This window comes from Homo sapiens, chromosome 22, assembly GCF_000001405.40.
Source record: "Homo sapiens chromosome 22, GRCh38.p14 Primary Assembly".
In the NCBI taxonomy this organism is placed as follows: domain Eukaryota; kingdom Metazoa; phylum Chordata; class Mammalia; order Primates; family Hominidae; genus Homo; species Homo sapiens.
In genome coordinates, this window is record NC_000022.11 from 30,376,353 (window position 1) to 30,400,259 (window position 23,907).

At 56.1% G+C, this 23,907-nt stretch overlaps 3 protein-coding genes and 1 long non-coding RNA gene across 18 annotated transcripts in view, besides 4 other annotated features; 2 read left to right on the forward strand and 2 right to left on the reverse strand.

Annotated features, from left to right (window-relative positions):
• The window catches only part of KIAA1656 (protein), a 9,095-nt gene extending 7,542 nt beyond the window's left edge, over positions 1–1,553 (reverse strand). Inside the window, exon 1 of the long non-coding RNA NR_046312.1 lies at positions 1,159–1,553. This is a non-coding gene — a long non-coding RNA (KIAA1656 protein). The remainder of the gene's footprint in view (positions 1–1,158) is intronic.
• CCDC157 (coiled-coil domain containing 157) overlaps positions 1–2,321 on the forward strand; it is a 22,050-nt gene extending 19,729 nt beyond the window's left edge. For 10 of the 12 annotated variants that reach the window (XM_011530263.4, XM_024452258.2, NM_001318334.2 and 7 more), the window contains one exon: positions 81–2,321. In XM_011530263.4, the coding sequence (XP_011528565.1) occupies positions 81–393 (313 nt within the window). In that variant the 3' untranslated portion in view covers positions 394–2,321. The remainder of the gene's footprint in view (positions 1–80) is intronic. The other 2 variants (XM_047441441.1, XM_011530266.4) reach the window with 2 other exon arrangements.
• A 147-nt stretch (positions 2,322–2,468) lies between these two features.
• On the reverse strand, positions 2,469–11,059 carry RNF215 (ring finger protein 215). The gene is made up of 9 exons (NM_001017981.2): positions 10,677–11,059; positions 10,264–10,407; positions 9,718–9,789; positions 9,552–9,637; positions 7,987–8,143; positions 3,930–4,049; positions 3,710–3,853; positions 3,359–3,461; positions 2,469–3,270 (listed from the first exon to the last, which is right to left on the reverse strand). Exons 1-9 carry the CDS (start codon positions 10,959–10,961, stop codon positions 3,248–3,250), a joined length of 1,134 nt encoding a protein of 377 aa, NP_001017981.1. The 5' UTR covers positions 10,962–11,059; the 3' UTR covers positions 2,469–3,247.
• Positions 10,799–11,158: a silencer, noted in NCBI's record as "silent region_13610". NCBI's record gives its function as "represses an Ori minimal core promoter by ATAC-STARR-seq in GM12878 lymphoblastoid cells {active_cell/tissue: GM12878}" and the evidence as "EXISTENCE:reporter gene assay evidence [ECO:0000049][PMID:35858748]".
• Positions 15,152–15,341: an enhancer, noted in NCBI's record as "active region_18837". NCBI's record gives its function as "activates an Ori minimal core promoter by ATAC-STARR-seq in GM12878 lymphoblastoid cells {active_cell/tissue: GM12878}" and the evidence as "EXISTENCE:reporter gene assay evidence [ECO:0000049][PMID:35858748]".
• Positions 20,666–23,907, forward strand: part of SEC14L2 (SEC14 like lipid binding 2) — a 28,286-nt gene continuing 25,044 nt past the window's right edge. For 3 of the 4 annotated variants that reach the window (NM_012429.5, NM_001204204.3, NM_033382.3), the window contains exons 1-2: positions 20,666–20,818; positions 23,291–23,366. In NM_012429.5, coding sequence (NP_036561.1) covers positions 20,765–20,818; positions 23,291–23,366 — 130 coding nt within the window. In that variant the 5' untranslated portion in view covers positions 20,666–20,764. The remainder of the gene's footprint in view (positions 20,819–23,290; positions 23,367–23,907) is intronic. The other variant, NM_001291932.2, reaches the window with a different exon arrangement.
• Positions 20,909–20,978: a silencer, noted in NCBI's record as "silent region_13611". NCBI's record gives its function as "represses an Ori minimal core promoter by ATAC-STARR-seq in GM12878 lymphoblastoid cells {active_cell/tissue: GM12878}" and the evidence as "EXISTENCE:reporter gene assay evidence [ECO:0000049][PMID:35858748]".
• Positions 20,999–21,058: a silencer, noted in NCBI's record as "silent region_13612". NCBI's record gives its function as "represses an Ori minimal core promoter by ATAC-STARR-seq in GM12878 lymphoblastoid cells {active_cell/tissue: GM12878}" and the evidence as "EXISTENCE:reporter gene assay evidence [ECO:0000049][PMID:35858748]".

Genomic DNA, 23,907 nt, shown 5'->3' on the forward strand with positions numbered 1-23,907 from the left:
TGAGGCTTTACTGGAGGTGGGGCAGGTGAGTGGAGTGTTCCCTGCATTCACAGGGGATCTTGGATCTGGTTTTCCTTCAGGCCTCTGGGCAGACAGCACCTTCCTAGCAGCAGGACGGGTAGGACCCTGCTGGGCCAGCCCTGCACATCCCCACCTCGGCAGCCCTGCACATCCCCACCTCGGCAGCCCTGCACATCCCCACCTCGGCAGCCCTGCACATCCCCATCTCGGCAGCCCTGCAGCCAGCCCAGCAAGTCCTTGCTGGAGGGTGTGACCCACTTGGACACCTGCACCCAGAACCCCATCAAGGTCTTGGTCAGGCTGAGAAAGAGACTGTCACCTGGCCGGGGACAGGCCAGCTCTGCACACCAGCCCCAGGAGCGGCCCATGTAGCCTGTGGCCCAGGGCTGAGGCTGGATGGGAGGTGGCTGGCAGCCCACCCACTGTAATAAAGCCCCAGCCATTGGCCCACAGCAATCTTTGCCTCACAGTATGACTGAGCCAAGGAAAGAACCCTTCCTTCCCTGTCCTGGGCAGGGGCCACTGAGTCCCCAGCCATGTAGTTCAGTCAGTCAGCAGAGTCCTGGCACTATGGGCCCTCAGTAAAAGGGGCCTTCCTGCTTCCCTCCCGACAGAGGCTGTGGGATAGGAGAGTACACCCAGGGCAGAGGAAGCTCCTAAGACCTGGGCCAGGTGAAGGTCCGTTTTTCTATCCCCAGAGCAAGGGTCGAGGGGTGAACCTTGGCTCAGTGGCCCGCACTGACTCAGGAAGGGGTCAGGTGGGAGTGGACAGAGGAAGGGCCGGTGAGGATGTCTGAAGCAGGCAGAGGGCAGCAACGCCTTCAGCCTCCCACCCTGGCTCTGGACCTGCGCTGGGCACATTAAGGACCCAAGAGGTCAGGCCTCCTTTCACTGAGGAACTCCTTGCCTTTAGGAAATGGTGACCGTCATGAAGGTTTCTCTAAATCCTGGAGATCATAGCCCCAGGAGGCCACTGAAGGCGGGGCAAGGCCTCCACCAAGCAGAGGACACCCTGCCAGCCCTGGCTTTCCCATCCCTGTCCCTTGGGGGTCTCTTCAGCCCAGGGTGCCATGCGGCCAAGCATCTGGGGCTCTGGTTTTCCTCATGAAGCCACCAGCCTACCCTGAGCCACCTCACCTGTGAAGGACAATCTCCAAAAACTTGCTGAGGCCTTCTCAGGGCGCACGCTCCCAAATGCCTGAAGCATTTTCCCTTGGTGAAGAGGCCGTCAGGTAGAGCACCTCAGTTCACAGAGAAGGGTCAAGAGGGGCCATGTATATAGCTGAGCTACCACAGCTTTGGTCAGCCCAACTTCCTGCTTCTGAGGGGCCTGGGAGTTCCTGAGGGAGGCTGGGGTGCCCCGGGCACCCCCCTCACAGGGGAGCACCATCCCTCAGCACCCTGAGCCAGAAGGCCTGTGCTCAAGTCCAGGGGAAGGACCTCACAGCTGAGTAGCTCTCTCAGGCGCCCACCAACTCCGTGCCATGTATTCATTAGCTCCCAGTTCTGGCAGTCAGAAGTCCAGGTTCTGTGTGGCTGGGTTTTTTTGCTCCGGGTCCCAGAGGGCTGAAATTGAGGCATCTACCAGGTTGCGTTCCTTTCTGCCGGTTCTGGGGAAGAATTGGCTTCCAAGCTCCACTTGTTGGCAGAATTCCGATCCTTGCGGCTGTGGGACTGAGGTCCCCATGTCCTCGCTGGCTGGCTGTAAGCCAGGTCCTCTCACGGCTCCTAGAGGCCGTCCACCTTCCTTGCCATGGGGCTCCCTCCATCTTCAAGTCAACAACAGAGGATTTCTCATGTGCTGAATCCCCCACATGCTTCAAATCCCTGACTTCCTCCTCTTCTACCAGCAGAAAACTACTTTGAATAGGCTCATGTGGTTAGGGCAAGGCTCACACTCAAATACTTTCCCTATCTTCAGGTCAGCTTGCTATAAGACAGAACCCAACCATGGGCATAAAATCCCTTTGAGAAGCCAGGCGCAGTGGCTCACGTCTGTAATCCCAGCACTTTGGGAGGCCGAGGCAGGCGGATCACCTGAGATCGGGAGTTCGAGACCAGCCTGACCAACATGGAGAAACCCCGTCTCTACTAAAAATACAAAATTAGCCGGGCGTGGTGGCGCATGTCTGTAATCCCAGCTACTTGGGAGGCTGAGACAGGAGAATTGCTTGAACCCGGGAGGCGGAGGTTGCAGTGAGGCGAGATCACGCCATTGCACTCCAGCCTGGGCAACAAGAGTGAAACTCCATCTCAAGAAATAAAAATAAAATAAATAAATAAAATCCCTCTGAGTCCCAGTTCCAGAAATTATATTAATGCAAGGCATGTTCACGGCAGGTGGTAGTGGGAGACCTTGGGGGCCATCTTAGAATTCCATCTACCACAGGCAGTAGAACCTAAGGTAACTTTTTAAAATCTTAAAACACCTATACACATTTTACATCTTATGTTAAAATATAGCCACGTTTATTTTACTATTAAACCTTCCCTACTCCAACTCTTTAAAAAAAAAAAAAAAAAAAAAAAAGGATGCCCCTGGATGAGGCACCACATTGATCCTGTGGCTTCGAGTATCCCGGTCAGCAACACAAAGCCGCAGCCAAGGATTCCAGAACAGGACGGTTTCTAAGACCTCTGGTCCTAGCCAGGCCCAGGAAGGGAGCCAGGCTGGACAGGCAGTGGGACCCATGGCTCCCAGTGCTTGAGGACCAAAGGCAACAGGCAGACAGCCTTGACAAGAAGTATCCTGAAAGACGGTCAGGCCAGGGTACCCCAAGGCCAGATAGCTCTTCCCTCAACCCACCCCCCAATAAATAAGCACAAAACCTGGCCACTGTAGTCTCAGCCCCCAGGAATTCCCAGACAGGCCACAGGGAGCTCCCAGAACCCTGGCGACAGCTACACTGGCCCCATATTCTCTTTCCTTATTGACCTGGGAGCTGCCTGTAAGGAGGGCAGACTCACGTCACAGGATTGCAGAGAAGGTCCCAAAGTGACCTCTCTTCCTTGACTGACAGGTCCCAGCCCTAGATCCTCAGTCTGAAGCTGTGGGGCCCTCCTTCCCAGTGTGGACATGGTGGGGCCCTCATCCTTCCTCCCACCCACTGGGCTTGCTGTCCTGTCTATCCTGCTGTCCCATCCTGTCCTGTCCTGGGAGCCCAGGCTGAGGACCGGGGTGCAGGCAGGAAGGGTCCATCCCCATGTGCAGAGTCCAGCTGGGCAGCTAATCATCGGAGTAGCGGTTCCCTGCAGGGGAGGGGAAGAAGAACAGGGAGAGAGGCATCAGGTGAGGAGCAGGCAGAGTAGGCCGAGGGACCCCACCCCTGGTGCTCACCCAGGACGTTGAATTTGCACAGTGGGCAGGTCTGCTGGAGCATCAGCCAGGGGTCCACACAGTCTCGGTGAAACTCGTGCTTACAGGGCAGCACCCGGAGCCACTACAGGGGTGGGGGAGGAAGGGCTCAGGTCACCGAAGCAGGACTCCACGTGGGGGTGCCTGGTCCCATGCCCCTCGCCTCAGCTGGGGAACTGAAACCTCACGGCTTCCCCCACCCCCCTGAAATTCTGCTCTGTGGCCCTGGGGGCTGAAGGAGAAGGGCCTGGTGGTGGTGGTTCCAAGGTCCCAGGAGTAAGGTGGGAGGCATCACAGGTGAGCTGATGGCTGGTCTCTACCCGGGGCACTAGCCTGTTTGTTGCAGAAGTAGTCCAGGCACACCGCACAGGTCTCAGCACCCGGATCTGGGAGGCCCTGCGCTGCCCTGCTCAGCCGGCAGCGCCGTGTCTTGAGGGATGCCAGTCTCCGCACCACGCGGCGCTTAAACAGGTCCACCTGTGGGGAGAGGACGGGCACAGTCTTGCAGGTCCAAGGGCTGAGGGTGCTGGGGCTCCCTGGGGCTGGCTCCCACCTGGCCTCCGAGCTCCCGCTGGCTCTGCCGCGACGCCTGCCGCTGGGCCTGGACCACGAGGCCTGTGCACAGGAGCATGGCCACCAGCAGGATGGCGTTCCACAGCTGCTGCAGGGGTTTCTGGGGAGGGAAGCAGTCATCAGGGACATGGGGCCACCCCCACACGCCTCCCTTAGGAACATCTACCCCCAGGAACGCCAGGGAGCAGGCAGGTGAGGTATGCTGACGGCCTCTGTGTCCCTGCAGTCCCCAGCTTCCTCTTCTGAAGGCTCCGTCTCTTCCATTGTGTGCTTCTCAGGATCACTCACTCTGCCCTACACGTCTTCCCATCCAGCTCCAAGGAGAGCCACATCCATTCCCAGCCCAGGGCTCTCTGGGCAACAAACCTGATGTTTTGCATACACAGAAGCTTCTATCTGGTAGCCTCAGAGACTCCCCAACCCAGCACCCAGCAACCCAGCACCCAGCCTGGGACCTGCTCACTCTCCCACCCCCATCCTCCTGCACTTCCTCCTGGTCGGCTTTCTCAGGCCCTGCCATCAGCCACTCACCCATCCAGCCTGAATGTTCGCACCCCCCTGTACGGGAGGGAGCCAGCCCCCAAGGCCTGTTGCTTCGTTCTCCTGGGTGGGGGTGGGTCTCATGCCCTCCTTGCCACCCACTTCCCACCCACGGTCAGAGGGTTCTCCCCTGCACACCAGGCCCTGCAGCTCCCCTGCCTGAGCTCCTTCCCTGCAGTGCCACTTGCCTCCTCTCAGTGTCTGTGCCTTTCCACACTGTTCCCTGTCTTGGGAACCCTCTTCCACCTTATCCCTTTCCTCGGCTACTGCCTCCACCACATCTTGCTCTAGAAGCTCCCTGACCTCTTATGGCTGGGTGAATGCGCCCCCCTAACCTCCCGCTGCCCCGCCCTCCTCACACCCGCTCTACCCAGCGTTCCCTTGCAGCTGCCCTTGGGGGTCTGTGCGCTCCCATCGGTGGGAGGTAACCATAGCTGATGTGGTCACCACTCTAACCCAGTACCTCCCACCATCTTTGTGGAATGAGTGAATTTGGAAAGGAAACATGACTGAGAGAACACTTTAAAGCCTGGGGGCCCCGGGCCCCTGGGCAGCCTCAGAGTGACTGAGGGAACCACAATGATCTTGACTCAACTTGCCCCAGATGCGGTGTGGCTGCTGCGCTCTGACTACTCAACAGCTGGCTCAGGAGATGGCGCAGCGGAGTAAGCAAAACACAGCACGCTCCCTCCAGGTGCGCCTCTGCACAGGGTCTGTGGATGTGTTAGGACTAACACGTGCATTCACTTCAAAGCTCTCTGCAGCTGAGTACTGCTCTGCCATCGTGTTCTTCCCCGACCGATGCTGAAGCTCATCTACCGTCATGTGGGGAAGAGGGGCTGAGAAATGATCTGATATGAAGAGGCCACCGCTCTAGACAAGCCTGGTGCTGCTAGTGCCACAAGCCATTGCTCTGCTCACAGTGGAGGTGCTCTGGGGGCCCTCACTGGGAAGTGTCTGTGAGCCCCAGCTCCCCTCTCCATCCTGCTCTCTTCTCTCCTCCAGCTGCAGCTGGGCAGTGCCACCTGTTCTAGGAAGCTGTCCCCAAGCTCCAGGCTGAGTGCCTTTATCATGCCCTAGAGGGTGCCGGGGCCACCACCAGCTCTGTGCTTACCCCAGCAGAGTGACAGCATGTCTCTGGCCTATCTGCTCTCCAGACTGGGCCCCCATGAGCCCAGGGCTGGAGCAGCCCACGTTGGCCAACACGTGCTGGGGGCTGTACACCAGGAGACCGGGGCATCACTGCCTGGCAGAGAAGTAACTCAAGAAATGCTTGGGGGCCAGCCGCGGTGGTTCATGCCTATAATCCCAGCACTTTGGGAGGCCGAGGTGGGCGGATCACCTGAGGTTGGGAGTTCGAGACTAGCCTGACCAACATGGAGAAACCCCGTCTCAACTAAAAATACAAAAAATTAGCCTGTGTGTGGTGGTGCATGCCTGTAGTCCCGCTTACTAGGGAGGCTGAGGTAGGAGAATCGCTTGAACCTGGGAGGCGGAGGCTGTGGTGAGCCGAGATTGCGCCATTGCACTCCAGCCTGGGCAACAAGAGCGAAACTCTGTCTCAAAAAAAAAAAAAAAAAGCTTGTGGACAGAATACCCTTGAATGCCCTTGATGCCAAGTGTTGGGTATTGGAAATCCAGAGATGATAAAACACAGCCCTGGCTGTCAGGAGACAAAGTGACACTCCCCTGAGCCCCATGCCAGGACTAAGTGGCCATTATGGCATAAGCTCTCCAGGGCAGAGCCTGCTGTAGAGCTCCATGCCTCAGAGCAGCCAGCTGGGTGGGCTGAAAGTGTGGCCGGCCTGAAGCTCCGCTGCAGGCCAAAGACCCAGCCTCCCCAGGCTCACTGCATCCTGGGGAGCCCTATGTGCCCCAGGTTCAGTGCATCTTGGGGAACACACCTTGCAGAGCCCCAGGTGAGGATGGAGGGCAGGATGGGAGCTTGCCATCAGAGCAGTAAGGACTGTTCATTAGCTGGGCATGGTGGTTCATCACGCCTGTAATCCCAGCACTTTGGGAGGCCGAGGTGGGCCGAATGCCTAAGCTCAGGAGTTCGAGACCAGCCTGGGCAACATAGTGAAACCCCATCTCTACAAAAAATACAAAAATTAGCTAGACATGGTGGCACGTGCCTGTAGTCCCAGCTACTTGGGGGACTGAGGTGGCAGGGTCACTTGAGCCCAGGAGGTCGAGGCTGCAGTGAGCCAAGATCGTGCCACTGCTGTTCATCAGACCTTCCTGATACATGAGTGTTGCTGCTCTGGACTCCCAGAGGCTGGAGGCACAGTGACTGGGCCCTGGGGTCAGGACTGAGAGCCCGATGCCCATCAGGCCAGCCACTGAGATGCCTCCTCCAGCCACCCTTCAGACACTTTAGTGGCCATGGCCACCCAATACTTGGGTTGGGACCACCTTGACCCCAGCCTGCAGCCTGGCCAAGGCTGCTCAGGTCTGCCCTCTTGAGCAGCCAGACCCACCTGCAGACTGCGCTCAGCCCCACCCCAAGCCTCTCACCAATGCCTGCCCTGTCCAGAGGCCTGTGTGGGCCACCCATGACAGGGATACACAGAGTACCGTCCCTGTTTGCAAATGAGGAACATGAGGCCAGAGAGGTGAAACTCCCAGCTGAGACCAGCCAGCTAAGGTTTCCAAGCCAGGATTTGATCCCAAGATTGCCCCACTTGAAGCTGCCCTGCACAGCCCACGGTGGCCAACACCTGCTGGAGGCTGTACACCAGGAGACCGGGACGTGACTGCCCAGCAGAGTAGGGACTCAAGAAATGCTTGTGGACAGAATACCCTTGAATGCCCTGATGCCAAGCGCTGGAAATCCAGAGACGATAAAACACAGTCCTGGCTGTCAGGAGACAAAGTGACGCGCCTCATCACATGCAGGATGGGCTGTCCCAAGAAGCCCATGGACGGCCTGACCACGCCTTGTTGTGATACAAAAGAGAGAGAGAGGGAGGGGACTTCAAGCTGGGGTGGGAGGGAGGCTTTCCAAAGAAACGTGGCAGGATGAGTTGTGAAGGTTCTAGCTAGACTAGGACGTGTGGACACAGAAAAGGTGTCCACGTCTACAGCCAGGTGTAGACAAGGCCCAGTGGCAGAAGGCCTGGGCATATGCAGTCATTGGTACAGGGTGGCCAGAGCATAGGAAAAAGGACTAGAAAAATAGAGTGAGTGAGTGATGCAGAGAGCTGGGAAAGCCACGCAGAGGGGTCTGAATTTTACAGGCAGTGGAATAAGGCTTCCCAATGCCTGCAGAACATGAGGACGGCAGCTAACACTGACTACATGTGACCTGGCCCAGGCGCCCCAACTGAGCGCCCACCTACACCATGTCTCTGAACACTCACAGCACTCCTGTGGGGTGGGAAAGGCCGTCCTTGTCACTAAGGTGGGGAGAAGCCACAGGATTTTCAATACAAAGCCATGTATATGGCCCCACGAGCCTCCTTTCCCTAGGCCCCATGTAATCTGCTAGCACCCACCTGCTCCTGGGCACGACTGCCTCCAAGGCAGACCAAGTCCTGCCATCCTCCATAGCCATCCTTGGAGAGGCCACAGGTGGTCCACAAGGTCAACTTCCACTCGATATTGGCAGACAGGGACTCTCCGCTGGTGATCTCAGCCGTGGCCTGGGTCCTCCTGGGAGGGGAAGTCACCGGGGCCAGATGGAAGGACTCTTGGGAAGGGAGGCCCAGACCCACCCACCCCAGCTCTGCAGGAAAAGGATACCTACGACTGTCGCCCCTGCTGGCCTTACACTTTGCCCCAGGCCTTTTCCCTCTATTGGTTTTTCCAATTTTCACACCAGCCAGGCCAGGGAAGCCTGCAAGTCCATCTTCCTCCTTGCTGGGGCCAGTCCTCTCTGCCCACAGAGCCACTTCCTTGCTCCAAGCTCCAGGCTCTGGCACCTCCTTCCCATCCCCTCACCCATTTTTCAGCCTGGGACAGGACAGTCTTTCTTTTTTTTTTTTTTGAGACAGGGTCTCCCTTTGTCACCCAGACTGGAGTGCAGTGGCACAGTCACAGCTCACTGCAGCCTCTACCCCCGGGGCTCAAGTGATCTTCCCACTTCAGCCTCCTGATTAGCTGGGACTACAGGCATGTGCCACCATGCCCAGCTAATTTTTGTATTTTTTTGTAGAGACTGAGTCTTGCCATGTTGCCCAGGCTGGTCTCAAACTCCTGGACTCAAGTGATACTCCTTCTTTGGCTTACCAAAGTGCTGGGATTACAGGCATGAGCCACCATTCCCAGCCGAGAGGGCAGTCTTAAAGCTAACAGTTGGCTGGGTACGGTGGCTCACACCTGTAATCCCAGCACTTTGGGAGGCCGAGACGAGTAGATCACAAGGTCAGCAGATCGAGACCATCCTGGCTAACATGGTGAAACCCCGTCTCTACTAAAAATACAAAAAAATTAGCCGGGCATGGTGGTGGGCACCTGTAGTCCCAGCTACTTGGGAGGCTGAGGTGGGAGAATGGCATGAACCCGGGAGGCAGAGCTTGCAGAGAGCCGAGATCGCGCCACTGCACTCCAGCCTGGGTGACAGAGCGAAACTCCATCTCAAAAAAAAAAAAAAAAAAAAGTTAACAGTTAGGCCGGGCCCTGCCAGGCCCAGCCACAGTGGCAGCAGGGGCAGCAGCAGCAGCAGTGGCAACGGGGGCTCCTGCCTGTAATCCCAGCACTTTGGGAGGCCGAGGCAGGTGGAACTGAGGTCAGGTGTTCAAGACCAGCCTGGCCAACATGGTGAAACCCTGTCTCTACTAAAAATACAAAAAATTAGCTGGGTGTGGTGGCACATGACTGTGATCCTAGCTACTTGGGAGACTGAGGCAGGAGAATCACTTGAACCTGGAAGGCAGAGGTTCCAGTGAGCCGAGATTGCGCCACTGCACTCCAGCCTGGGCAACACGAGTGATACTCCATCTCAAAAAAAAAAAAAAAGGCTAACAGGTAAGGCCCTGGTCCCAAGCCCCCTCAGTCCATGGGAGAACCAGGGGCTCTCTGTACCCAGGGTCAGTCCTTTGAAGTCTAAATACCAACTCACTGCAGCAATGCATCCAACAGCTTGGTGACATTGGAGGAATAATGGAGGACGATCACTGGCCTGAGCAGAAGCTGGGATATGTCCAGCTGCAGGGAGACAAGGAGGTCAGCAGGCCTGGGTCCCCCTTTCCCCAGCTTGCTTACCCTCACGGCCTGGTCCGATTTACCTCTCGGACCACGTTGTGGTTCAGGATGAGAAGAAGCAGGGCAGAGGCACCCAGGAAGAGGGCCCGCCGCATCTGCAGAGGGATAGAAGGCGAGAGGCTAGCATATACCCTGCCTGCACACCTGTCTCACCACCTGCAGCCCTAGCTGCTCTTAGCTCCTGGCCCTGCAGTGAGCAAAACTCTGGACAGACTGCCATAAGCTCCTTGAGGTCAAAGGTGGAAACTGCTTTCTTCCTCCTGCCTCCCTTCCAGATGCGCTGTGCCTTCCCCGGTCCTATCAGGGCAGTCCCAGCAGTGGTCGTCAGCAGCAGCTCCCCCATCCCATACTCTCAGAGCCTGGTCAAGCTTCTCAACCTCTCTCTGGCCTCCTCTCACCTCCCTGCTTCGAAGCCATACTGACTCCATTCTTCAAACTGGGGTGCCCTGACCCACCAGGCCTAGGGCTTCTCTGCAAGCTCTTAAGGGCCCATCTAAGGAGGGCCTGGCTCTAGCAGATGCCTTGGAATCCTTTCCTCCAGCCCCCTCCCCCATAGACATCCCCTGCACCTGCTGGACCAGGGCCTTGGGATAGGCCTGCGGGCCACTGCCCTTATTCTCCTGGTGGAACTGGGCCGCCTGCTCCTTGCCCACGTATGCCACTGCAATCCAGCCTTCCACTGGTGCCTCCTGCTCGGCATCCACGATGTCCATCTGTGTGGCAAGGGGCCATGAGCAGAGGGAGGTAGGGTGTGGTGGGGGAGGGAGCCGGGGTCATCACAGTGGATGCCAAGGCCAGAGTTCCCAGAGCATCTGGCTCTCTGGTTTGGGAAGCCGGAATGCTGGGGGCCTGGGGAGCCTGGGGAGGGGCGCTGGACTCTCAAGGCTTGGTGGAGGATGAACGTCGGTTCAGGGTGCGGGGTCTCTAGGGAGGGTTGAGAGAGGGGTTTAGTGATGCGGCCAGATGGCTCAGCAGCGCTCACCAGCAGCAGACGACCGCCCAGCAGGGGCGCCGGGTCGGCTTCGGAGCCGATCCTGACGCCCTCCAGGACCAGAGCGTCCTGGCGCGGCAGTCTCACGTCCACCCGCACGGCGCGGGCTCCGCCCCGCCCCGCCCCGGCCGCCGGCTCGCTGCCGTCCGCCGCGGCCCCGGGCCCCGCCAGGCCCAGCCACAGCGGCAGCAGGGGCAGCAGCAGCAGCAGCGGAGACGGAGGCGGCGGCGGAGGCGGCGGCGGCGATCTCAGCGCGGGGCGAGCGGCGGGGCCCATGGCCGGACCCGGCGAGCTGGCCCAACAGTGGGGCCAGGGGTCCCGGGCGCGGGGGGGATCGGAGGGAGCGAGGCCGCTGCCGGACGGGGCGGGGCGCCGGGAGGGGCGGGGCCGCGGCCGGACGGGGCGGGGCACCAGGAGGAACGGAGTGGGCGCTTGGCGGCTCTCGCGCCCAGACTGGGCCGCGGGCGCCCCCTGGTGGCCGCGGAGAGCTCAGGTGCCCGCGGCTGAGGGAGCTGGAGAGGGGCAAAACCGGGGTCGCAGCGGGAAGGCGGAAAGTCAGAGAGAGGAGGTGCTTCGGCAGCGGACGCGTCAGCGGGGCAGACAGGAAAATAGTTGGAAAGGGCGACCTGGGGGAGCAGAGACACGATCAGAGCCTGAGAAGGGCAGGAGCAAGGGATGTCTAAGGGGCCTGGTGGCAGGCCCTTGTTCTGCGGCAGCCCCGTGGACCCACGGGGTGGCCAGGGCCAAGTCACATCCCTCTCTTCCCCGGTCCTCCCTGTCTCGACCCCACTAAACAGCAGGAGGCAGAGAACCAGAGACTGGCGTGGGAAGCCGACAGGGGAGATAGAGGGGCAGGGGAAAGGGGCTGGGGGGCAAGGCAAAACGAAGCAGGCAGGGACTCAGTGCCTCAGTGGGACCGAGAGGCTGGGTCACTTCCCTCATCTGTGAAATGGGCACCATAGGCCGGGCGCGGTGGCTCACGCCTGTAATCCCAGCACTTTGGGAGGCCGAGGCGGGCGGATCACCTGAGGTCGGGAGTTCGAGACCCGCCTGACCAACATGGAGAAACCCCGTCTCTACTAAAAATACAAAATTAGCCGGGCGTGGTGGCGCATGCCTGTAATTCCAGCTACTCAGGAGGCTGAGGCAGGAGAATCGCTTGAACCCGGGAGGCGGAGGTTGCGGCGAGCCGAGATCGCGCCATTGGAATCCAGCCTGGGCGACAAGAGTGAAACTCCGTCTCTAAATAAATAAATAAATAAATAAGCACCATGTACAATCAACACTGCCTCACCCCCAGCAAATAACTCAAATGTCTACTGGAATGTGGAAGTTCCACTACTGTTCTAAAACTTGTCCGTTTCTCCAAGGGTTGGGGCTGCTGGGAGCTGGCTCAGTCTGAAACCTGAGCCTTTAAAAATTGTATGGTGGGCAGGGCGCGGTGGGTCACGCCTGTAATCCCAGCACTTTGGGAGGCTGAGGCAGGCGGATCATGAGGTTAGCAGATCGAAACCATCGTGGCTAACAAGGTGAAACCCCGTCTCTACTAAAAATGCAAAAAAATAGCCGGGCATGTTGGGAGGCGCCTGTAGTCCCAGCTACTCGGGAGGCTGAGGCAGCAGAATGGCGTGAACCCGGGAGGCGGAGCTTGCAGTGACCTGAGATGGTGCCACTGCACTCCAACCTGGGCCAGATGAGCCACAACACTCTTTTTTCTCCAGAAAAATTGAAAGAATTTTACAGTGAACACCTGTAGGAACACTGATATGGGATGACCAAGTTGCTCCTGAAGAAGTGTGAGACGGGTATATAAGACAGCCCCCGATATCAGCCTAAAGACAGACAAATGGAACATGAAATAGGCCAGAAACTGACCCACACATCTAAAGATGGTGTACATCAGAGGAAACATTGTGTTTGTGGAGATACAAGGAGGCAGTAGCATGGACTGTTTGGTAAATTGTGCTAAGAAATTGAATTAACCATTAGGAGAAGAAATTAGACCCCTATTACATACACATCATATACAAAATATGAATTCCATATAGATTAAAGACCTAAATAAGAAAAGTAAAAGTTTAAGCATTAAAAAATTATTTATGCATTTATTTTTGAGACAGGGTCTCTCTCTGTTGCCCAGGCTGGAATGCAATGGTGCCTTCTCAGCTCATTGCAACCTCCAGGGTCAACTGATTCTCCCACCTCAGCCTCCAAAGTAGCTGAGACCACAGGGGTGTGTCACCATGCCCAGCTAATTTTTTTTTTTTTTTTTTTTTTTTTTGTAGAGACAGGGTTTCACCATGTTGCCCACGCTGGTCTTGAACTCCTGGGCTCAAGGGAACTGCCTGCCTCAGCCTCCCAAAGTGCTGGGCTTACAGGCAATAGCCACTGCACGTAGCTAGATTCTCTGTTCTGTTCCATTGGTCTATAGTAGTCTCCCCTTACCTGAGGTTTTAGTTACCTTCAGCCAACCGAGGTCCAAAAAAATATTAAATGGAAAATTCCAGAAATAAACAGTTCATAAGTTTTAAATTGCATGCTGTTCTGAGTAGCATGATGAAATCTCTTGCCCTTCCTCTCCATCCCTCCCTGGATATGAATCCTCCCCACGCTGTAAATGTTACCACCTGTTAGTCACTTAGTAGGCCTCAGAGTTATCAGATTGAAGAAACACAGTATGTTTTCAGCACTACCTGAGGTTTCCGGCATCCACTGAGGATCTTGGAATGTATCGCCCAAGGATAAAGGATCACTAATTGGATATGTTACTAACGTTTTTTCATATGTGGGAAAGCACTCTTCATAAGCTACAAAATGCACTGTGGAAGCCCCGTGGTGCCCGTGAAGAGGCTTGCTTCTCCATTTCTGTGACTGTCCCAGCCCATCTGTCAGCCCCAACAACAGGGTTGCAAGGATGCACCCTGTAATCAGCCAGGTCTTTGGCTCCATGTTCTGCCTGCCCTGTCCCCACTTTCTCCCTACCCTTCACCCCACTGACCTAGTCACCCCTCAACATACACACTCCAACCAGATGCAGGTCCTTGTTCACGCTTGTCCCCCACCTAGAACACAGTTCTGCTTCCCTACAAATATCCACATCCTAGCCTTCCATCAGTGGGAGCCGGAGCCCCCTTGCAAACTTGGTGGGTAACCAGTTCCCTGTGGTGTGTTCTTCCATGGGGTAACCCCTGGTTATCGCAGAAGGAACAAGAGCTGGAGGATGTTACCTCAACGTGGGTGGGTGTAGCTCAGCCCAGCCAGGGGCCTTCTGCTGCTTTGGGGTGAGGAGGGTTAGGGGGTGGGTAAAGAAACAGTAAAGATTGGAGCCAATGCTGGCGGGGGGCAGAGTGCAGTGTAAGCCCAGGAAGTGAGGCAGCCAAGGGTGGGAGATTGACTGCAAGGAGACGAGTGACCTTGAGGCCCTGCCTGGGAGTGGAGTATCTGAGGAGAAGGGGACTGGAGGACCCCAGAAGCGGGGGAAGGGATGCCAGCTAAGAGACATGCAGGCACCCTGCTCCCAGGGATGGACAACAGGACCCTCAGCCCTGTGGGCTCTCTCTGGAGTAGCCCAACCCGCAGATCCAAACTCCCAAGAGAGGGTGGGGAGCTAGAGCGGACAGGACTGTCACTCTCTCACCATGGGCCTCTGGGCAAGCCACTTCCGTTTTCTTGGCCTGTGTCCTCAGTTGTAAAATGGGAGCTTGGACTAAATGACTTGGGAGGGCCTTTCATCAGACATGCTGTGATTCCAAGTAGCTTGTTTCTTGGGATACAAGGTTTCCTGGCCCTGGGCTGGGCAGAGACCTGCATGGAGAAGGCCCCAATTCCTCTGTCTCTCCTTATTCTGTAAAGTTGCAGGGGGACCTAGGAAGAAACAAAGCTACTAATGAAAGTGTGAGGCATGGAATATGTTACCTCAGCAGTGGAAGGGGGTGGTGATGAGGATGAAATGTTTTAGAATTGGTACCAGGAATGGGGTGTATGACAAGGCCCTTGAATTCCGTGAACCTGAGCCCTCTGCTTCTCTTCCTTTGCTGTGAAATGAGTTATTTGGTCACACACCAGGCTGTGCAAATGCCAAAAAAAAGGCATTCCGTGAGTACACAGATGGTGGTGCTGGCAGAAGGATGAAGGGCAGGGAAGGCAAATCCACATCTAGAATATGTGTCTATTCCAGTGAGCATGAACCTGGGCCCCACCTATGAGGAAGAGGCCAATGTAATCAAGCTGCCACCAGGTGGCAGGCTGGTCCCTGGGGAATGTGGCCACATGGGGCCCAGTGACTTTGTTTTGTACAAAAAGGGCCTTGAAGCAGACAATGCCTAACTCATGGAAATGTGTCACCATCAGTGGGGGCTTCTGGCCCAGTGGCCACAGGGACGGCTAGGCCTGAGGTGGTGGTATTTTTAGAACATGGAGGTCCCTAAGATTCCTTTACCTTATGGACATGAGGCCCAGCACATAAAACAAGTTGTCTTAGAAGATCTTAAAGTGTCCCTTGATTGCCTAGTTCCATCTGCCACCTCCCTCCACTCACCCAGATGCTCAGAGGGTCGATGACTCACTCAAGATCACACAGGGCAGATGCAAAGTAGCCGCAGCTTAACTGTGGCATGGGCTGTAAAGTAGAGGGGGTCCTGCTCCTTCCTTGGGTCCAGCTCTCAGGGACAGGGTGAGCGTCATGCCCACAAATGGATATCAAAGGACTTCTCGGTGCTAGGCACTGGGCATGGAGCAGTGACCGTGACCAGCAATGGCTTCTGCCCTTGAGAACAGAGAGAAAACCATAACCACATACACAAGCAAGATCATTTCAGGCCACGGTAGGTGCCACAGGAATGAGATAAAATAGCCTCAGAGAGGGGCTGGGGGCCAGAGGCCACTTCAACCTCATTACCAGGGAAGGGAGACCTCTCTAAGAGGTGGTGTGTGGGCTGGCACCTGAATGGCAAGAATATTCAAGAGAAGAAACAGAGAATGCAAGTGAAAACAGCTGATACCAGCTGGGTACAGTGGGTCATGCCTGCAATCCCAGCAGTTTGGGAGGCCACAGTGGGAGGATCAGTTGAGGCCAAGAGTTCAAGACCAGCCTGGGCAACATAGTGAGACCCCCATCTCTACAAAAAGAAACCCACAAAAAATTTAAAAAAACAGCCAATAGCTTTACAGTGTTCCAGGTACTCTTCAACGTTTTTTTCATGAATTCGCTCATTTAATCTCATTCCAATCACATGAGGTAGTAAGATTATCACTGCCATTTTACAGATGAGAAATTGAGGCAGAGGTCAAGTAACTTTGCTAGGTTATAGAACCCGGACCCAAACCTAGGTAGTCTGGTTCCAGAGTTGGTGGGCCCACTCCTATGCCATTCTGCTCTGAGAGGTCACTGGTGTGGGAACAAGCTTGCCTACCGAATCTGGACTCTATTTTAGCTCTATTTGGGGTGGAAATGGCAACCCATCCTTCCCAAGCGAAGTCCCCAGGCTCCTGCCAGCTAGTGCCAGAGCCATAGCAGGGGCCCCAGCACCCCTCCGGCCCTCCCCTCCCCTCTGGGGGACTCCTGAGGTCCCAGCTCCCTGCCCCCAGCCTCTGTGCTCACAGCTATCTGGGCCACCTCATTCTAAAGGGATTTGGCTCTTGGAGACAACTGGAGACTGGTGAGAAAGGGCTTAGGGATTAGACAGTGATACCCAGGAAGGTAAGGGACTTAATCAGGGGTTCGAGTGTGGGAAGTGGGGTGGGGAGAGGATTTTGTTTCTTTGCAAAGCCAGGCTGGACTGCAGAAGTGAGGAGGAAGTGGGGCTCGGGGGAGGAGCCAGACAGGCTTAGTTTCTCACTCTCTGTTGTGCCTTCAGAAGCAACATGATAGAATAATAATCCCTCACCTGTGTGCGCCCACCACTTCCCCAGCCATTATTTCACTTGGAATTCTCACAGTGGCGGGATTAGTTCTCTCCCCAGATCACAGACACCCAGAGGAGGCAGGTGACTTGAGGCAGCTGCAAGCCCCACAGGGCTGGGCTGGGAGGAGGGGAGGAGGTTGGGGCCAGGGCTTTTCTGCATGGCTGCCCGCAGGCACAAGGGTTTTCCAGAGAGTTCGCGCTGCCCTGGCCCCGTGGAAGTAGAGTGTTCCACAAATATTTGTGAAGAGTTTAAAAGACTGTTCTTTCCAACTCTCAAATCACAATGCCAATCTCTGTGCCACCCCCTTCCCCCTGGCACCACAGATTCTGAGGCCAGGGCACGCAGGAGGCCTCTGATCTCAAGGCCAGTGCCCTCATTTTAGTGAGGAAACAACCAAGGTCTAGAGGGCACGGCCAGCAGCCCTGAGGAGACCCCCAAATATGCGTCTTGTGGAATAGTCACGGCAGCACATTAAGCAAGAACATGGTCTCCAGCCCACACACCAGACTCCCGGTCCAGTGCTCCTTCCTGTGCCCAGAGCTGCCCCCCAGAAGAATCTGAAGCACAGGGCTCTGTCAACGCTAGGACTGCCATCCCAACGCTTCTAGATCTCTGCGTGCCACCAGCCTTCTTTAAGTTGTTCACACTCTATGTTCCCCTAAGCAAAGTCCCCAGCAAGATATACCCAGAGCAACACACCCATCACAGAAGGTTCTCCCCTCCAGCCTGCCTGACCCAGGAGGCCTGGTTCTTCCTGTTGGGCCATGCTATTCCCTGAGAGTTGCCACTACAATGCAAAATAGTCCACATCAAGGCCAGGAAAGGGGACTTCTGGTTGGCAGAGGTCGTGTTGCATTGGGTAGCTCAGGGAGAAGCTCCTGGAAACAGTATTTGATCAGAGTCTTGAGGGCTGGGGAAGACCTGGCAGGAGGATACAGGACACAGCAGCAGCTCTCACAGAGGCAGGAGGGCAGAGGTGTGTCTAAGGGACAGTGGGAAGCTTCTCAGATTGAAATGAAGTGTGTGGAGAGGGCAAGTGGCCGTTGGTGCCACAAGGAATGCTGGGCTGGGGTGGGGGTAGGCCTCAAATGCAGATCAGTGGGATTGAGTCAACTCAGGAAGGAACCGGGGAGCCATTGAAGATTCTTGAGCAGGGGTGCAACATACCTAGCAGGGAGGAAGAACTGTAGGGCAGGGATTAGGGGATGGAGAAAAAGTGGGGATGGGAAGGAGGGACTCTCTCTTGTTAGCCAGCTCCAGGACTTCACCAGATTATTTATTTATGTGTTTTTGTTTGTTTGCTTGTTTTTTTTTTTTTTTTTTTTTAGACCGAGTTTCTCTCCTGTTGCCCAGGCTGGACTGCAGTGACGTGATCTCGGCTCACTGCAACCTCTGCCTCCTGGGTTCAAGCGATTCTCCTGCCTCACCCTCCCAAGTAGCTGGGTTTACAGGCGCCCGCCACCATGCCCGGCTAATTTTTGTATTTTTAGTTTCACCATGTTGGCCAGGCTGGTCTCAAACTCCTGAACTCAGGTAATCCACCCGCCTCAGCCTCCCAAAGTGCTGGGATTACAGGCGTGAGCCACTGTGCCTGGCTAGGTTTTTTTTTTTTTTTTTTTTTTTTTTGAGACAGAGCCTTGCTTTGTCGCCCAGGCTGGAATGCAATGGTGCCATCTTGGGTCACTGCAGCCTCCACCTCCTGGGTTCAAGCGATTCTCCTGCCTCAGGCTCCCAAGTAGCTGGGACTACAGGTGTGTGCCACCATGCCTGGCTAATTTTTTTTTTTTTGGTATGTTTAGTAGATACGAGGTTCACCATGTTGGCCAGGCTGGTCTTGAACTCCTGACCTCAGGTGATTCACCCACTTCAGCCTCCCGAAGTGCTGGGATTACGGGTGTGAGCAACCGAGCCTGGGCCTATTTAGGATTTATATGATCAAATTAACTAGCTGTTTTATGGTGGGCCAGAAGTAGGTTAAGTCTCAGTGGAGGAAGAAGAAAGAGGCAGCTGTTGAACCTGGGAAGGGCAGGCCTGGGGAAGGGTTCTTTACCGAGGCTTTTATTTGGGTAACTTCAGATGCGGGGAGGGCTGTATCCTGCTGGGTGAAGGTGATCTTGTACTTTCGTGGGTAACTTTCGCAGGCAGTTCCCAGGCCCGTCCACACCTTGGCCTGGGAGCATACGGCCTAGAAACCACAAACTTGGGTTTAAGTCCCAACTCTGCACGTGCCCACCTATGACCACCTCTCCCTCAGGCTCCTCAATAAGTCACCTGACCTGCCTACCTTAGAGGATTGTCCCACACTTAAGTGACAAGCTAGATCTGAAGGTACCTTGTGAGCTCTAAGTTGCTGAACCAATATAAGAGGCTGTGCTTCTTGTTTTTATTTTTTGTTTGTTTGTTTTTTTTTTTTAGAGGGAGTCTTGCTCTGTCGCCCCAGACTGGAGTACAATGGTGTGATCTCAGCTCGCTGCATCCTCTGCCTCCCAGGTTCAAGCAATTCTCCCACCTCAGCCTCCTGAGTAGCTGGGACTACAGATGCACACCACCACGCCTAGCTAATGTTTGTATTTTTAGTAGAGACGGGGTTTCACCATGTTGGCCAGGCTAGTCTCAAACTCCTGACCTCAGGTGATCTGCCTGCCTTGGCCTCCCAAAGTGCTGGGATTATAGGTGTGAGCCACCGCGCCCGGCCAAGATGCTGTTCTTCTATAATAGTTTCCTTTGAGTAGGCTCTAGCCTGGAAAGAATATCCTGGCCCTGGAAGGGTCTTATATAAAGATCTTAGCCATGTATCCAGTAAGGAAGGCAGCCCTGTCCTGCCCCAGGCCAGAAGCCAGCGAGCCTAACTAGGGCAGAACTGCCTGAAAACTCTCTGTAGAGGTGGGCGTTGGGGGCCTCAACCCTCACTCTGCACCCTGCAGCAGGCGTCTATGGAGGGGGCCACACCAAGGGCAGAGCAAAGTCCTTAAATGTCTTTAACAGGCCTGGTGCCTTTGCCTCCAGGTAAGGAGAGAGACTGGGGACATTCTGCTTTGTCTCTCCCAGAGACTTGAGTGTTGAGGGGGCAGAAGTATGGCTCTGGGAGACGAGATGCCCACAGACTCCTGGACCTAGCTCTGCATTAATTCCAGGCCATAAGGGGAGGGCACAGCTGAGCACTTTCCATGTGCCAGGCAGTGGGCACTCCACATATGTCATGCCACTAACAACTTTGGGCAAGCCATGCCTTATCTGGGCCTCAGTTTCCCTAGCTGTTAAACGAGGTAAGTTGCATGATCCCTGAATGATCTATGTTTCTCTCTCCCTCTCAGGGTTCTGCCAGCCCCGGGATCTGTGTCTCTATTGGAGCAGTTCTTACATTCATTCATTCATTCAGGATACATTTATTAATAATCCCTGTAGGCTGGGCACCGTGGCTCACATTTGTAATCCTAGCACTTTGAGAGGCCGAGGCGGATCACTTGAGGTCAGGAGTTCGACACCCGCCTGGCCAACATGGTGAAACCCCATCTGTACTAAAAATACAAAAATTAGCTTGGCATGGTGGCGTGCACCTGTAATCCCAGCTACTCGGGAGGCCGAGGCAGGAGAATAGCTTGAACCCGGGAGGCGAAGGTTGCAGTGAGCCGAGGTCGTGACACTGCACTCCAGCCTGGGTGACAGAGCGAGTCTCCGTTTCAAAAAAAAAACAATGCAAAAACAATCCCTGTGTGCAGGATGCTGTGCTGTCCTGCACTATGCGAGCCTGGTTAGAAGAGCTCATTAGATAGCACCTTTCAATCCCTCCTTGTTCAGAGGCCCAGAGAGCTCAGGTGTCTCTTCCAAGGTCACACAATGAGGTAAGGATAAATTTGGAACTAAAACTGAGACTCCCTGCCCTTCTGATGCCCACTGGCCTCAGTCCCAGTGGGCACACTTGCTCGCCTCCTGCCTGGGTCTCTGACTTCAGGAGGGCGGAGGGGGCCCGTGTCAGAGCCTTCCGCGCCCCAGCGCATCGCTCCCTACTCCGCCTCTCGGGATCCTTTAAGAGGCGGGGCTTGGCTGCCAGCTCCGCGGCCCGGGCAAAAGGCTGGGACTTTACTCCGGGTGGCGGCGAGGACGAGTCTGTGCTCCATCAGCTGCCGCACCCGCCGCCTCCCGCCCCCAAACCCCATCCCCGCGGTTGAGCCACGATGAGCGGCAGAGTCGGCGATCTGAGCCCCAGGCAGAAGGAGGCATTGGCCAAGGTGAGCTGTAGCCCTGGCCCGGGCTCCCGCCTCGGGCTGTGGCCCTCGCCCTCCTGCGGCAGCGAGAAGGGACGGGGCTGGGTGGGGGCCGAGGGTCCGTGGCGGGCGGCGGAGGGAACAGAGGCGGCTGTCCCAGCCTGGCCCGCGCCCGCGGATGGCTCCTTCCTCCCTTTGCCACCCTCGAGGTCCCAGGAAGTTTGGCCACCCCCCGCCCAAGCTCTGAGCAGCCGTGGCGGTGCCACCTGGGGACAAGTGGTTGCTTGTGAGTCCCCGGAGGCCGCTGAGGGCACAAAGGCAACATTCATCCTCGGGACTGGCAGCCGGGCCCTGGGGCAGGGGCAGGGGCAGGGGCCCAAGTTTCCTCCCATTTCCGGGAGGCTTTCTTCTTGTAGGGTCAGTGGCACGATGGAAAGGGCTCTGGATAGCTCCTTGGGAGACTTGGATAGCTCCTGCCCCGGCACCAAGCCGCTGTGCGACCTTGGGCAAAACCCTGCCCTTCTCTTTGCTCCTCGATGCCATGGAATGAGGAGGTTGGACCAGATGATGTTGAAGGGAACACCTCCGTGTGTGAATTCCAGGCTCCCCCCATGAGGCACTGGGTTGGTGTTAGTTTGAGCTGAGACCAGCCGTCCCCTATCTTGCATCCCAGACCCCTGCCTGGTTCAGGACTTAAGGTTTATGCTCCTCAGAAGGCAAGAAGGTGAGCCTGGCTTTGCCTTGGCATCTGTGACAAGGAGGGGGCAACAGTTTGAGGGCGGGACCTTCCTCTTCACGAACTAAATCTCTTATCTGTCACCCCTGGGGAGTGAGGAGGTCGGCTCTTCTCTGGGCAAGAGCCGATAGGGTCTGGCCCCAAGATTTGGAGGCTCCACAGCTGGGGAGTTTTCCATGGCTGGGAAAGGTGGGGCGGGGGGCAGATGTATCCTGCCACTGGCAGCAGTGGGGAGGCACCAGCTCCATAAAGCCTCTGTCCCAGGCTGGGCCTCCCCCATCCCAGGAAGGCTGGACAGGGAGGCTTCAGATTTTACTGCTGACTCGCAGGAGAGGTCAGGCAGAGAAGGGATTAGGTGGTGATTAAACTGGAGACCAGGGGCTGGTTAGGGTCCTTGGAGAGGGGTAGCTTCATGCCTGCAGTTTGGAGGAGCAGTTTCCCTGGTGCACTGGGAGCTGCTTTGTGGGGTGGGATGGTCTGAGTCCCTGGCTGACCTAGGCAAGGGGCAGAGGTGGCCAGTCCTCATTAGTGTCCTCTGGGACTGCCCTCTAGGTCAGTGGTCAGGGAAAGGTGAATGGCTGGGAGCAGGAGGCTCAGGGAGGGCATATAGGGGCCTGTTCGCCTACCAGGGAGTGAGAGGTTGGAGGTAGGTGTGGCTGTCCATTGAGGTCACTGTCCACCTCCTTTGTTTGGCACTACCTGCACTTTCCCGCTTCCTGGCTTCCCCTACTGGAACTGTTCCCTCCACCTGAGTTGCCCACCTCTCTCCCCCGCTGCCTTTGAAGTCCTTCAAGCCCAGCACAAATGCCATGTTTTATAGGAAGCCGTGTGAGACCACCTCTTTCTTCCCTCTGCTCCCCAGCAAACTCCTCATCCTTCCATGGGGCAGAAGACCATGGTGGAAAGAGTGTGTGCTCTGGACTCAGACAGACCCGGGTTTGCATCCCAACTCTGCTAATGACTAGCTGTTTGACCTTGGGCATGTTACTTAGCCTCTCTGAGCTTTAATTCCTTCATCTGTAGAATGGGGACAATACTTCTACGGGTTGTGAGTGAGGAGTAAATAAGCTATGGTGCCAAGATCAGCGCTGAGCGACAGGAAATGCTTGGTAAACTGACAGCTTTTACTGCAGTCCGTATCAGAGTGCCTACTATCACGATTAGCTGGGAACACATCTGCCTGCCCGCAGACTGGTGTGTGGGAGCCCTTGTTGTGGGGCAGGGGCAGTGTCTCACTCCCTTCCCACTTCCTGCCCTGCAACCTGGCACCCCCTGACAAGACAGTGCTCCAGGCAGCATGAGTGCCCAGGGAGTGTCTGCAGAGTTGAACTATGTTAAAGAGAAGTCCAGTTGGCCGGGCGTGGGGGTTCATGCCTGTAATCCCAGCACTTTAGACCGAGATGGGCGGATCAGGACGAGGTCAGGAGATCAAGACTACCCTGGCTAACACGGTGAAACCCTGTCTCTACTAAAAATACAAAAAATAGCCAGGCGTGTTGGCAGGCCCCTGTAGTCCCAGCTACTTGGGAGGCTGAGTCAGGAGAATGGTGTGAACCCGGGAGGCAGAGCTTACAGGGAGTGGAGATCGCCCACCGCACTCCAGCCTGGGCGAGAGTGCGAGACTCTATCTCAAAAAAAAAAAAAAAAAAAAAAAAGAAACAAAGAAAGAGGCGTCCAGCAAAGATCTCAGTGGAGAGTCCTAGGCAGAGGGCAGCAGTCAGGGCGGGCCCTACCACTCACCCCGATGCCTCTCCCTACAGTTTCGGGAGAATGTCCAGGATGTGCTGCCGGCCCTGCCGAATCCAGATGACTATTTTCTCCTGCGTTGGCTCCGAGGTGAGGGAAGAGGGGCTGCGGGAGGCTGGGGCAGGGGCTTGTTCTGGGCAACAGAATAGCACCCTCTGAAAACCCTGCCCTTGGCAATTGAGGCATCTAGAGTGTCCAACCTTTAGCGCCAAAGGGCCCTTGGCAATGACATAAGCTCAACCCTCCTAGTGGATAAAGACACTGAGGCTCAGAGAGGTCAAGTGACTTGTTCCAAGCCACACAGTGAGCGAACTGCAGGCAGAGAAAAGGGGAGAGTCCAGGTCGGCTGACCCTTGGCCCACAGCCTTTTCCATCTACTCAAGAAATCTGCTCTGCTGATGGAGTTGGGGAAATTGGCTGAAGAAAAAGTGAGAAAGGCCCCAGCCATGTGGGGGGTCGGAGGCAGAGCCAAGTGTAGAACCAGAGTCCTGGCCCCTGCTATGCCCTAGTGTGATGGCAGGTCCCTGCAGACCACAGTTTAGGCAACTTGAGGGAGGGGCAGAGTGCATGGGGAACCTGAGGGGCACAGCCTGACCTAGAGTGACAAGAGTCTCCTCAAACCACCACCAGG

Coding starts and splice junctions, on each gene's coding strand:
- RNF215 (NM_001017981.2), bottom strand. CDS start 10,961: ATGGGCCCCGCCGCTCGCCCCGCGCTGAGATCGCCGCCGCCGCCTCCG. Junction 9,790..10,263: donor CCAAGGCCCTGGTCCAGCAG/GTGCAGGGGATG, acceptor ATCCCTCTGCAG/ATGCGGCGGGCCCTCTTCCT. Junction 4,050..7,986: donor GCAGTCGTGCCCAGGAGCAG/GTGGGTGCTAGC, acceptor TTCCCTCCCCAG/AAACCCCTGCAGCAGCTGTG.